At 41.2% G+C, this 15,151-nt stretch overlaps 1 protein-coding gene across 53 annotated transcripts in view; it reads right to left on the bottom strand.

Moving 5' to 3' along the window:
* The window catches only part of TACC1 (transforming acidic coiled-coil containing protein 1), a 124,447-nt gene that overhangs the window by 30,655 nt on the left and 78,641 nt on the right, over window positions 1-15,151 (bottom strand). For 46 of the 53 annotated variants that reach the window (NR_148050.2, XM_047422141.1, XM_047422142.1 and 43 more), the window contains one exon: window positions 1,739-2,852. The exons of the other annotated variants lie outside the window; for them this stretch is intronic. Coding sequence is in view for 45 of the 46 variants with exons in the window: in XM_047422141.1 (XP_047278097.1) it covers window positions 1,739-2,852 (1,114 nt within the window). In the remaining variant the exon portion in view is untranslated. The remainder of the gene's footprint in view (window positions 1-1,738; window positions 2,853-15,151) is intronic. 53 annotated transcript variants of the gene reach the window in all.

Raw genomic sequence — 15,151 nt, 5'->3', positions numbered from 1 at the left:
GTGTATTATTTTTTATCTTTTATACTATATTTTTACTGTACCTTTTCTATGCTTAGATATGTTTAGATACACAAATACTTACCATTGTGTTACACTGCCTATAGTAGTTTTTTTTTTTTTTTTTTTTTAAAGACAGGGTCTTGCTCTGCCAGCCAGGCTGGAGTACAATGGCATAATCATGGCTCACAGCAACCTCAACCTCCTGGGCTCAAGCAATCCTCCTGCCTCAACCTCCTGAGTAGCTGGGTCTACAGGCATGCACCACCACTCCCAGCTAATTAAAAAAAATTTTTTTAAGAGACAGGGAATCGGTGTGTGTGGGGGGGTGTCTCACTATGTTGCCCAGGCTGGTCTTGAACTCCTGGCCTCAAGGGATCCTCCCACCTTGGCCTCCCAAAGTGTTGGGATTACAGGTGTAAGCCACCACACCTAGCACCTATTCAGTACAATAATGTGCTGTACAGGGTTGTAGCCTAGGAGTAACAGGCTGTACCATATAGCCTAGGTGTGTAGTAGGTTTCACCACCTAGGTTTGAGTAAGTTCACTTGACGATGTTCACACAACAAAATCACCTAAGGATGCATTTCCCTGTGGCTTACCCTGTGGCTAAGTGATGTATGATTGTATTATCATCTACTCAAGTTTTGTGATAAAGTAATCCTGTAGCAAAGTTAAACTGAAACTTGATATGGAATAGGACCTTAGGTAATTACACTGAAAACACCAAGGACCTTGCAAAAGTCAGATAATTTCCCAGGAGAGATGGGGGATTGACTAAACCAACTAATTTACTCAGTTTTAACTGATCATTTAAAATATTCTTGATTCTTATTGAAATTTTACCTCCTGGCTGATGAGCCAGAAATTACACATGGAGACAAGAATTCTCATCAATTTTAGTGGTAGGTTTGTTTCCCACAAAAATCACAGCTTTCTGTTTATGTAAAAAGTCTTCTTTCTACAAGACCCTTTTGGATCATTTCCCACGTTATTGACGCTACAGAGGTAAGTTACAGGACTGGAATTTCTGTTTTATCCATAGAGTATGAAGACGGTGGCCAGCAGTGACATTTGAATTGTCTATAACACGACTCCTAACAGTCCAGCCAGGATTTCTGAAAACCATCAAATCTCTACCTGTCTATCTCATGCCATTCTTTTTTTTTTTTTGAGATGGAGTCTTGCTGTCACCCAGGCTGGAGAGCAGCGGCGTGATCTCGGCTCACTGCAACCTCTGCCTCCTGGGTTCAAGCAATTCTCATGTCTCAGCCTCCCGGGTGGCTGGGACTACAGGTGTGCACCACCACGCCCAGCTAATTTTTGCATTTTTAGTAGAGACAGGTTTCACCATGTTGGTCAGACTGGTCTCAAACTCTGGACCTCAAGTGATCCACCTGCCTCGGCCTCCCAAAGTGCTGGGATTACAGGTGTGAGCCACCGTGACTGGTCTATTTTTTTTAAACATAAAAAAGTCTCTAGGGTCAAGGGAAAAGAGCTTAGCTGATTAAGCTAAGGATTCAGAAAAAAGACAACAATCTGAAAAGGAAACCTCTGGTATTTCTGATTCCACACAACAGTTAAGCCAAACAGTGAAGACTGCAGGATAACATTATAAGCTTTGTATGAACCTCGGTGCACCTCAAAGGTAAATTCAGTTCACCAAAGCCAAAAGTAGCTGGCTGCCAAACTCAACAGACAAGACACAGAGCACGACACCCAGCGCCCACTGTCACTCACGTTATTAAACGCGACTTTGCCTTCTTGGGTGATTCTAAGATTTCATTAACGTGATTACCAGTGGGAGAACAAAAGTCACTGCTTGTTAAGGTCGTAGTTGGTTTAAAGGGATCCATGGATTCGTCAAAGTTATCTGGGTCAAAGTGGTAGGAGCCCTCAGAAGAGAGGGGTGGGGAGTTCTGCAGAACAGAGTGGCTCCCAAAGGGGTTGAAGCTGGGGCTTTCCCACTGACTAGGATCTGGCTTGGAAGATGTTTGGGAGAGAGGCCCGTCTCGTGCCACTGGGTCTGTAGGCTGTTCTAAACCTGCTGACTTACTGATGCCATCTTTTTGTATCTTGGGAGTCAGTGTGCTACCCAGTTTCCTGCCAAGCTTCCTTGGAAGGGCTTTCCTGGCCTCTATGTTTCCTGTATCTTCTGTGAAATCAAACTCAAGCTTGAGAGGTGAGCTCCTCGACTCCTCCCCCAGCTCAACCCCTGAGTCGTTGGTGTCACTACTGAGAGTGCCGGGAGTTTCTTTAAGGTCAGGGGGAGACTTCTGGAACCTGGCATCTCCTAGCAAAGGACTTGTGTTCTCATCCAACTCTTCAGGACTGAAGTGATAGGATGCCTTGGGGAGAGGTGTGCCCTCCACAGCAGCGTTGGTGTCTGAGAACTCTCCTCCAATTGCTTTCTTCCTCAGGGGGACAGGCTTGGGCTTTCTCAGCTTGCTTCTTCTGCTGGGCACAAGCTCTGGACAGGAGTTGCCAGCTTTTAGATCAGCTTCTGCGGAGGCCTCGAGGGTGACCCCCATGCTGCCTTCTGTCATCGCCTCGTCCTGGAGGGCGTCTGGCGGGCTGGAAGGCAGAGCCTTGCCTGAGACTGCAGTTACACAGCCATGAGCTGCTTTTGTTCCGAGGACTGCCGAGATATCCGTGGAATCCTTCGTTTCTATTGAAAATGGCCTCACGATGGAAATTTTGCTAAAATCATGTTCAGGTTCTTCTCTGAAATTCTTGACTGAGTGAGAGTCAATGGCCTGCTGTGGCACTTCATTTTCTGAAGGTTTAGAACAAGTCTTAGATGAACATTTTTCAACCACTTCTGCTACAAGCTGTTCATCAGCTTCTTGTGATTCTAAAATGAAACACAAAAACCATCTATTAAAGAATTATCTGTCACTGGTAAGTATCCTCTCTTACCTGAATTCATATAAACAAATAGCAAGTTCTTCCCTCTTTGCTTTTATTAAGCATCTCTAAAGTTCAGGAAGGATGGCAGCACAGCCTGAAAGAGAAGAGCTGGCACAACACCCTAAAATGAATTTTCCTATCCCAAGTTGTGTATGTGCATTATCCAAGTGATACGAATAGTAAGTACACCAAAAGAGCTATTTAGAAAAAGGATAAATAGAGCAAGAGTCTGCTGCAATGTATTATTATGTGATGTTAACATTCTGTAGGGTAAAACTGGTCTGGAGGAGTATTTAGAAACCAACAGCTATGGTGCAGGGAGGCAGATTGGTGCTGAGACAGTTCCTAAGCACAGCCTGACAGCTTCAGGGTCAGAACTTTATGCAGTGAACAGATCTGAATCTTTGAATGTTAAAAACATAAGTATCTTGGGAGGCCAAGACGGGCACATCATGAGGTCAAGAGATTGAGACCATCCTGGCCAACATGGTGAAACCCCATCTCTACTAAAAATACAAAAATTAGCTAGACATGGTGGCACACGCCTGTAGTCCCAGTCACTCAGGAGGCTGAGGCAGGAGAATCACTTGAACCCGGGAGATGGAGGCTGCAGTGAGCCGAGATTGCGCCACTGCATTCCAGCCTAGACTCTGTCTCAAAGAAAAAAAAAAGAAGAAAAAAAAAAAGCCATGTATCCACAGAACAGAATTTAAAAAGACTGTTTCAAAAATAAATTTAAAAAATCTACTGTGACCAGCTCAGAATCATCTCTCTGTAGACCTAAAAACTAAAAGAACCAAATAAGAAAGCTAATTTGAAAAACCAGATATGGAAATGGCTTTAAAACAAATAGCCCTTATTTTACTAAGACACAAATTGTAAAACAATAAAGTTATTTTTTCTTTAGAACCTCTGTCTCTAAGTCGGACCAGGAATTCTCTAAATCACTTGTGAAAAATAAAAATCCTTTTTAATTGTGGTCTTACTAGGATAAGTGCTGCAAATATTAGGAAGGTGTGAATGAGGTAATTTCGTTAAAGCAAAAAGTGATTTCCTAACGTAGATATCTGAAACAAGAGTAGCACAGAAAAACTCAGTGAATTGGTTATAATATCTCATGATTTTAAAGGAAATTAAAAGATGACCCTCTAATCCTACTTCCTAATCCTAATCCAGGATCAGAGTCAAGTACCACTGGAATATCATAGCTATAGTTTTTATTTTTGTTTTTCTTGACACAGTGTCTCTGTTACCCAGGCTGGAGTGCAGTGGCCTGATCATGGCTCACTGCAGCCTTGACTTCCCCAGGCTCAAGTGATCCTCCCACCTCAGCCTCCCAAGTAACCGGGACCACAGTCATGAGCCACTAAGCTTGGCTAATTTTTATTTTAATTTATTTTTTATGTAGAGACAGGACAGCCAAGTTGCCCAGGCTGGTCTCACTGGGCTCAAGCAATCTGCCTGCCTTGGTCTCCCAAAGCACTGGGGTCACAGGTATAAGCCACTGCGTCCAGCCTGTTTTTTTTTTTTTTTTTTTTTTTTTTTTAGGGGTCTCTCACTCTGTTGCCCAGGCTGGAGTGCAGTGGTGTGATCACAGCTCACTGCAGCCTCAAACTCTGGGGCTCAAGCAATTCTCCCATCTCAGCTGCCCAAGTAGCTGGGATTTGGAATAGCTTTTTTAAAGCATTCACACACCTTTCTCATGAATCTTCTATGATTATTATTGGGTACTGGTTTACAAATTATACTTCACAAACATACTTCAGATATTCTACAAATGTCCAATTAAAATTTTTCTTTTAAATATATGTTTAACTATTATTAATACTAAAATGTGTTAAAACGTCTCAGTGCTTCATAATCAGAATTTGGTTTAACATATTTCAAAAGGATTTTTTAAAAAAGAGATAGTAAGTATGGCAAAATCTTGGTAACTGTTGTCCAGGAATAGGTATATGGGAGTTTTCATTGTACTATTTTCTCTGTCATACAGTTGTGAAACTTTTCATAAATAAAAAGTTTAAAAACTCAACTGCAATACACACAAAATTTTAACAAGAACATTTTAAACTGTACTGACAATTTCACTTATGTGTACAGAGTCTATTATCTCTGTCCATGTATGTGAACTGTTATAAATGTGTTATTGTTTCTTTGTGCTGATGATGCGGAGGCAGACAACTAAAAACAAGCCATCAGCACCCTAAGGCTGCAAATATCCATGTGTTTCCATGTACAACTGGCTCAGTTAAAAGACAGGCCAGTTGTACAACAATGAGTCTTGATTATATCAAGGTTTAGATAGTTATCACTCCTTTTAAGTTTTGGTGCTTATTGTCAGCTTTTTAGATTCAACACAGGTGGTATAATAAAAATACGTATTTTGTCTTTGTCCTCAGTTCCTGGCACAGAGCTCCTACAACCCCTGGAACCTCCTGACTGGTCAGAGTGTCTTTTGTGTGTTAATGAATGACTGGGTGCTGGGGGTCCCTTGACAGCTGCGGGAATGGGCTGGTCACCAGAAAGACCAAGCCAAGATTAGAGGGTTGCAACTTTCAGCACCGTCCCCACTCCTTCCAGGGAGGGGAGAAAGGGTGGAAAATGAGCTCAATCACCAAGGCCAATAATTTAATCAATCACACCTACATGATGAAACCTCTATAAATACCCCTAAATGACAGGGACAGGGAGCTTCCAGGTTGGTGAACATGTTGACTTACTGGGAGGGTGGTGTGCCCAGAGGGAGTGGAAGCTCTGCACCCCTGCAGGTATGGGGATACCTTGCCCTATGTATCCCTTGCATTTGACAGTTCCTGAGTTGTATCCTTCACAATAAGCCAGTAAATATAAGTATTTTCCTGAGTTCTGTGAGTTGTTCTAGCAAATTACTGAAACTGAGAAGAGGAGTTATGAGAATCCCCAAATTTATAGCCAGTTGCTCAGAAGCACTGAGACTTGTGACTGGTATCTGAAGTGGCGGCAGTCTCGTGGGACTGAGACCTTAACTTGTGGGGTCTGCACTAAGGACAGATAGTTTAAGAAATGAACTGAATTTTTGGAAACCCAGTTGGTGCTGGAGAATCTGAGAACATCCAGAACAGGAAATGTGCCTTTTAACAGTGACTATTTAACAGACACAGCACTAAATTATCTGAGATTTTTTTAAAATGATACTTCTAAATATCTTAGTTTTGTATTTTCTACCAAAAAGATTTAAACTCATGAGGAACCACTTTATGTACTATTTCTAAAATTTACATCTATAAAATTAATAAATTGGATGAATTGTTAGATATTGTTAATAACTCAAATCTGAAACACAAATTCCCCTCTGCTCCTCTTACAGACTTTTGGAATAGTTTAATTAAGGCACGCTCTCAGGTACTAAGCTGAATTATTTAAAAACTTATCTGCAACTACTGACCTGCATAAATCAAGGTTCTTTCAATAACATGTAATCCAAACACTACTGAAATAAATTTTATTCTTTTTTTTTTTTTTTTTTAAACATGGTCTCACTACGTTGCCTAGGCTGATCTTGAACTCCTGGGCTCAAGTCATCCTCCCGCCTCAGCCTCCTGAGTAGCTGGGATTACAGGTGCATGCCACCACATCCGGCTTAGTTTTTAATTAGACTCTGATTTAGTTATTTTGCATGTTTCAATCTCACAAATCCCACTGTTTTTAAAACTAATGTTTTTAATCTTTACAACTATAATATATATCACCTTAAAATCTATTATACATTGCCGGGCACGGTGACTCACACCTGTAATCCCAGCACTTTGGGAGGCCGAGGCGGGCAGATCACCTGTGGTCAGGGGTTCGAAACCAGCCTGGCCAACATGGTGAAACCCCATCTCTACTAAAAATACAAAATTAGCTGGGCATGGTGGCGCATGCCTGTAATCTCAGTTTCTTGGGAGGCTGAAACAGGAGAATCGCTTGAACCTGGGAGGCAGAGGTTGCAGTGAGCCGAGATCGCACCACTGCACTCCAGTCTGGGCAACAAGAGTGAAACTCTGTCTCAAAAACAAACAAACAAACAAAAAATCTATTATATGTTAGAGTCCACATAATTTTTGTTTTTTGAGGAAAAGGTTCCACTGCCTTAAGATTTTGAAAACTATGGTTAAAGTGGGAAGTGCATCTCTAAAAATGGTGATATGGAAATAAGTGGAGATGAACAGGCGTTCTAGGAACTTAATACACGTGACCTTTTAAGGAGAACTTCAGCATCTCTCAGTTGTACCACAGATGATCCCACTCTAAGTAACAGATCTTGAAAACCCTATACAAGAGGTTGTATTTTAACATCTTTATCCTGGTGCGCCCAGCAGGAGTGGATGGTGTGGCATGGTGGGAGAGCCACCCTTTCCATATGCTGACAAGCAAGAAATGGTCCGGAGCCACTGTTTCTCCATCTAGAAAACTATTTTACACTACATTTTACTATAAATCAAACTGATATACTGGAAGAACTTGTTACCTAAGTAAATCATGATGGATTTGCTAAAAATAAAAATTCTACTTCTAAAATATTGGTATTACATGTGTATTTTCTTGTGTACAATTTATAAACTGTATTTACCCATAAACTAATTAGCCTATATTAAATGTTAGGACAAGAACTACCTCCTTTCATTTGCTGTGGGTTTGTTTTCCAATGGATTTTTTATTTGGTTCTTTTAGTACTTCTGTCTATAGAGAGGTGATTCTAGGCCAGACATGAGAGGTTTTCCATTTATTTTTGAAACAGTCTGATTATTTAAACCCTGTTCTGTGGAATAGGGAATACAGTTATGTGTTGCTTAACAACGGATTCTGAGAAATCTGTCATTAGGTGATTTCATCATTGTGCGGGTCACTGTGTGATCATTATAGAGTGTACCTGACACAAACCTAGATGGTATATTTACTACATACCTATGGTATAGCCTATTGCTCCTAGGCTACAAACCTGAACAGCATGTTACCGTACTGAATACTGTAGGCAATGGTAACACAATGCTAAGTATTTGTGTATCTAAACACAGAAAAGGTACAGTAAAAATATGGTATTATAATCTTACATGATCACATCATATATGCAGTCAGTCGTTGATCAAAACATCATTATATGGTGAATGACTGTATTTTTAACTTCCAAACATTCAAATCTGATCACTGCATAAAATTCTGACCCTGAAACTATCAGACTGTGCCTGGGAACTCAGTACCCATTTGCATCCCTAACATTTAAGCTGTTGATGTCCAATGGCTCCTCTGGACCTACAGAATATTAATATCACATCAGATATACTGCAGTAGACCCTTGTTCTACTTAGTCTTTTCCTAAATAAGTTCTATTTGATTATCCAAGTGACACAAATAACAGATTCTCTCTCTCAAGAATCTGAATTAAGACAGTAAGTAGATCTGTAGGAGGCTGAGGTCAGGATAAAATAAAGACAGAAGACCATCCTATCCCAGTGGACAAGTGATAGAGAATGGAGGTACCTGAGGACTTTTCAATGCCCACAAAGGCCTACCTACACTGCCCCAGCTTAATTTCTATGAAACGCCCCTTTCTCAATGATGTATACATATTTGAGCTAGTGTGAGTGGATTTCTGCCGAGACCAAATGTATTCAAACTAAAGTGCACAGAGAACTCAAGTCCCAAGATTCTGAGATCAACTGATGTCACCTAACGAGAGACAAACACATAAACCCTTCTGATATGAAAGGATGGGCATTACAACCATGTCCTATGCAATGTCTTCAAGGAGCCCAGAGGTGAAGAGAAAACCTGCATATAAGTACAGGATGAGAGACCTACCTGAGCAACCAGTCAACATTTTCTAACATGTGATTGGAGTTAACATGTGATTGCAACTCAATACAACCCATGGTGGCATAACTGAGCACAAAGCATATGCAATCTCAGATCCTATTAACAGATAAACAGAAACATCAATGACAACAGGATTGAGTAAAATGCACTGAGGGTTTGGATGGACTAGGCAATGGGCTACTAAGAGCTCACCGGGACTATCTTATTGAACCAAGACATCAGTCTTTACCACTAATGACAGATTTTACCAAATCTGTCGAAACTCTAAGGCCTGGGTGCTAAACCATATGTTAAATTCATCTCTTCATGGCCATAACAGTTTCTTGTAGTCTCCTTGATCACATAACATCTGAGATTGTGAATTCAGTTAGATTCTGAATTCAGTTCTGAGCTCCTCATCTTAAAAAAATTGTGAACAAAAATGGACGTCCTTAGAGGAATGTGGATCAAGGTGGTGTATCTGTAAACAATTAGTCTAAGATATTTAGTCTAGAAAACTAAGAAACATGATAGAGTCTACAAAAATTTTAAGGGCGTTTGAGGTAAAGGGAAAAAATTTGGATCATATGCACAACTATTAAGAGGAAAGTGGATTTCAACTCAATATAAGAGAAAACAAACAATCATGCAATGAGTGCAAAGAGAAGCCAGCTCCCTATCCATCAGGAATGGTTCACCCCTCCATTTCACTCACATGTTCACTCAGTCATTCAACAAATACCTAAGTATTTTTATGTACTGGGCTCTGTGCTTGGCACTGGGGACGTAACAGCAAGCAAAAAAGAGGAGGGCTCTGTTCTCATGCAGTTTAGAGACTAGCAGGAAAGAGAGATATTGATTAAATAATACTGAAAGAATGAAGGGGAAAAATGAGGATGGGAAATAGAAAGGCACCATGCTCACAGAGCCTTGCAGGCCTTGTCAAGAATCTGGTTCTATTCTAAGAGCAACAGGAAGCCATGAGTTTTTAAGCAGCAGAGAATATACTCAGGTTTATATTTTGAACAGACCCCAGTTGCAATGTGGAAAAGGATTAAAGAGTGTAAAAATGGAACATGTGAAACTGCTAGTATTTTATTCTAGGGGCTTTGACAAGGGTGATGCTAATGAATAGGAAGTATTGGGGGAATCCACCCCCAATATTTCAACGTAGGTTCTTTCTATTTTTCCTAAGTGTCGGCCAGTCTGAGATATAAAAAGAGTATAAAGAGAGGAATTTTACAGCTGGGCCGCCGCCGGGGGTGACATCACATATCGGTAGGTCCATGATGTCCCCTGAGCTGCAAAACCAGCATGTTTTTATTAAGGATTTCAAAAGGGGAGGGGGTGTACGAACAGGGAGTAGGTCACAAAGATCACATGCTTCTGAGGCCAATAAAGATCACAAGGCAAGGGGCAAAGCAAAGATCACAAGGCAAACGGCAAAATTAGAATTACTGATGAGAGTCTATGTTCAGCTATGCACATATTGTCTTGATAAACATCTTAACAGAAAACAGGGTTCGAGAGCAGAGAACCGGTCTGACCAAAATTTACCAGGCTGGAATTTCCCAATCCTAGTAAGCCTGAGGGTACTGCAGGAGACCACAGCGTATTTCAGTCCTTATCTCAACCGCATAAGACAGAGACTCCCAGAGCGGCCATTTATAGACCTCCCCCCAGGAATGCATTCTTTCCCCAGGGTATTAATTATTAATATTCCTTGCTGGGAAAAGAATTCAGCAATCTCTCTCCTACTTGCATGTCCGTTTATAGGCTCTCTGCAAGAAGAAAAATATGGCTCTATTCTGCCCGACCCCACAGGCAGTCAGACCTTATGGTTGTCTTCCCTTGTTCCCGGAAAATCGCTGTTATTCTGTTCTTTTTCAAGGTGCACTGATTTCATATTGTTTAAACACACATGCTTCACAATCAATTTGTACAATAGTGGTCCTGACGTGATATACATCCTCAGCTTACGAAGATAACAGGATTAAGAGATTAAAGTAAGACAGGCATAAGAAATTATAAGAGTATTATTTGGGAACTGATAAATGTCCATGAAATCTTCACAATTTATGTTCAGAGATTGCAGTAAAGACAGGCATAAGAAATTATAAAAGTATTAATTTTGGGAACTGATAAATATCCATGAAATCTTCACGATTTATGTTCTTCCAGTCCCTCCGTTCAGGGTCCCTGACTTCCCACAACAGGAGGAGAAGTTATGCTCTAGAGAGGAAATGAGGTGAGACTGATAAGGCTGGGTGATAAGCTGGATACAGGACTGAAGTAGGAGGAGGTAGCAAAGATGATTTGTAAGTTTTAGCCTTTGAAACTAGAAGACTAGTGCCATTCAGTGAGATTCAGGAAATACTAGTGAATGCTTGGGGACTAGTTGGAGTGGGGCCATGGGTTTAGCCTTGGACATGTTGAGATCTGTTTCAGGTTTTTTTTTTTTTAATCATTCCATATTTCATTTCAAAAAAATTTTAAACATAGCTTAAATACATTGTTATACTTTATTTATTTTAGAGACAGGGTCTCACTCTGTCACCCAGGCTTGAATACTGTAGCGTGATCCCGGCTCACTCCAATCTCGACCTCCTGGGCTCAACTTTTCCTCCCTCCTCAGCCTCCCAAGTAGCTGGGACTACAGGCACACCACCACACCCAGCTAGTTTTTAATTTGTATGTACAGATGGCGGGGTCGCACTACGTTGCCTAGGCTAGTCTCAAACTCCTGGGCCCACATCATCCTCCTACTTCAGTCTCCCAGAGGGATAGTATTACAGGTGTGAGCCACCATGCCTGGCCTGTTTTGGGATTTTGAAGCAGAGATGTTGAATAAGTAGAAGTATGTTCAGAGAAGAAATCTGGGCTGGGAATAATATTTGACATCACCAGAGCCATGGATATAGATGTGATCATCGTAATTCACACTGAATACTACATAATAATAAGTGATATCCATTCTACACTTTCATCTTTGAGCTTTAACATATTTTAAATCCTAATTTTAAATTTTAAATATTTATTTATTTTTTGGAGACAGGGTCTTGCTCTGTCACCCAGGCTAGAGTACAACGGAGCACTCGTAGGTCACTGCAGCCTCAACCTCCTATGCTCAGACAATCCTCCTGCCTCACCCTCCTGAGAAACTGAGACAACAGGCATACAGCCAGTGTGCCCAGCTAATTAAAAAAAAGAATTTGTAGAAATGGGGTCTTATTATGTTGTCCACGCTGGTCTCAAACTCCTGGCCTCAACTGATCTTTCTGCCTTAGCTTCCCAAAATGCTAAGACTACAGGTGTCAGCCACTGCACCCAGCCAGAAGTTTATTTAAAAAAAAGTTTACCTAAAAAATATGAATCTAATGTAAGATAAAACCTGAATTTTAAATATATTTTTAAATTAAAAGAGTAATATTATTGATAATTACATCACAGGTATAATGACATGATCATAGGTGGTATCATGACATGATATCTGGAATTTGCTTTTAAAAATACCTAAGTAACAAAATGAAAAAAAAGAAAAAAAGAAAAAGAGGATGGTGGAAGCAAGTATGGCAAAATCTTGATAGTCCTTTATCTGGGCAATGGAAATAGAAGTTCTACTTTTGTATGTAGTGTTGGAAGCGGATCCTAGTTTTTTAAAGTTTTTTTACAGTTACATAATTTCTCTCCCACTCTTTTTGTCATGGACTCCTAAACATTTACTACCATTCTCCTTCATAGGATCCCAGAGCCAGAATATCCAGGGCTATGTGTTCTTTCCCTACAGCTTCCAGAAAACCTAAGGGTTAAAGGGAAGGGAAGTAAAGCGCTACCAACACTCAGCTGTCAGGAGCTGAGAAGCCCTTTTCCCCTCCTTCTGTAGGTCCCACACTCATCCACCTCTTGGGGTTCTTTTTTTTCCTGTTACCCAGACTCCTTCACCATCAGTCCCACAGCCCCCAAAGAAAGGAGTCTATGAGAATCACCTTTTGCCAAACTCTCTCCTAGCTTTCTATTTCTACCCTAATCTCCATAACACAAGGACAGGGCCTTTCCCTCATTCTTCCACATATACCCACTCCTTTAAGAGTCTTCCTCCTCTCTCCATCATCTCCACCAGCTGCTTTTACCAAACTGAGTCCCTGAGATTCTCAAAAGGGGGTGTGCACCAATCAGTGATGGGGCAAAGCCGTCCAAGAGCTAGGGAAGGGGGAGGAAAGAAAAAGGAGCACATCTCAGCACAAGACAAAAGCTCTAAGTCTGACCCTGCCCCAACAACTGTCCCTGGACATCAAACGCTCTGCAGTTTAAGAAGGGTCAACAGCCGTGGCACATCTCCTCACTCTACACCTAGGAAGGGTAGTACTGTATGAGATGGCTTCACCCCCACATGCTCCTCTCACTGGTACTTGTGTTCCTACATCAGTCAAGCAGCTGGGAATCAAGAGATTTATGCAAAGTTAGCATCAGTGATAGGGAGCCTTATCTGCTACATTGTAAAACGCATGGCCCTGTCATGGTGGAATGCAGAAGGAAAACAAACACCACCCCGCTCAGTCCCCAGGCTGGGCAGAGGGCTGAAGGAACTCCACTGAAAATACACCCCCGGCCCAGTCATTTCTTGGCCAGCTCGGGGCAGGTGCCAGGTAAATAAACTTGCCCAGCCCTATACCAAGTCACTGCAGACCCCATATCTCAGTCTGGCATCTTCAGTCACCAAGAGAAGGTCCAAACAAGCAGAGGCGGTGGGTGGGAGAAGAATGCTCATTTACTTAAACCAGTTTGGGGAGCCCTGAGAATAAAAAAAAAGAGAAAAACAAACTAACCACATAACTTGAAAAGGTATGTTTGGGTAAGATTCTATTTGCATTTACACTATCAGCAAGTGTCTCAGTACCAGCTAACCCCATATACCTAGTGCTGCCCTAAAACACTAGGCCAGGACCAGCAGCTCACGCCTGTAATCCCAACACTTTGGGAGGCCAAAGTAGGGGGTGTTCCTTGAGCCCAGGAGTTCAAGATCAACCTGGGAAACATGGTGAAACCCCATCTCTACAAAAAATAAAAGTAAATTAGCCAAGTGTGGTGGCACATGCTTGTAGTTCCAGCTATTCAGGAGGCTGAGATGGGAGGACCACTTGAGTCCAGAAGTTGGAGGCTGCGGTAATCTATGATCACACCACTGCACTCCAGCCTGGACAACAGAGCAAGTCCCTGGGAAATGAAAAGAAAAAGGAAAGGAAAGAACCTAAACTTCAAGTATCACACCACAAGTCACTTTTATAAGAAGTTACATACCCAGATCCTCAGTAGGCTCCAGGTCCCAATCTCCCATAATGAAGAGTTTGGGCCACAGCTGTCAGGCCTTGCTTTTCATCTGAAAGCACTGTTATGTAACTAACCTACCTTCATGTGCCTTTCCATTTTTACAGAAATCCTGTGTTCCCTAAAAACCTTCTTCCAGGGCACTGAAAGGCTCTCTCTCTAGAAGGAGTTTGATGAGTTTGATTCTGACAAGCACAGCATTGCCTGGCGGCTTGGTGAATACAGACAGAGATTAGATCAGTAGATGAATTAAAAGCAAACACAGAGGAAATCCACAAATAGACCAAAATTTCCACTTCTGGCCCATTTGTTGCTGTTAATGAAACTCTTCCTTTCAATAGTCAGCCTTCCCTAAATCTAAAAGGTTGTGTGAATCGCCCACGGGTGATCTTAAACAGTAGATGCTTTTTATGCTTATTCAGGATAAAGACTATTTGCAGTAAAAAGAGTTCTCTCCCTCTCTGTATTTTTAAAAGAAAAGGTATGGAATGCAAAATTTTAAGGATTGAGGGAAACAGCTTAATATTCTAGTTTGTACCCTGTTATGTTGAAAATATACTGGGTTAAAATTCAAATCTATGAAAAAACTTGAAAGTCTTAGAAGAGGGGAAATGTTATCACAAAATATTTTTGAAACTTCAGAGAAATGTATTCAGCTAACATACTGAGAATCAACTGGTTAGCTGCTTTTACATGTAGAATCTCATTTAAGAAGAGATAAAACAGCAACCACTTGGAAAACAATGTGCATTAACACTTCAGATTTGGCATTATTCTCAGCTATGCTTGACTTTTCCCTCCCAGATTTTAACTGTATGGCAAAACATTGTCTAAGAGCTCCTTTCAGATTCGTCCACCACTTCCTCTCCTTTAGATAGACAGCCCTTTTTACGGGTTTCTAGACAGCTGACATATAATTGAGAAAGCTGCCAGAATTTGGACAAGTCTCCTGTATTCTCACATACACACGCTGGCTCTCTTTCTGACCTCAAAACACATAAACAATATCTCATATCCAAGTGGCTTCAGGATGGGGGCTGACGACCAGAAAGACCAAATGCATGATTAGAAGATGGGAATTTTCAGCCCTCTCCACCTCCATCT

This window comes from Homo sapiens, chromosome 8 (genome assembly GCF_000001405.40).
Source record: "Homo sapiens chromosome 8, GRCh38.p14 Primary Assembly".
In the NCBI taxonomy this organism is placed as follows: domain Eukaryota; kingdom Metazoa; phylum Chordata; class Mammalia; order Primates; family Hominidae; genus Homo; species Homo sapiens.
Note: the sequence above shows the minus strand (reverse complement) of the source record. Positions and strands in the feature narration are given on the sequence as shown.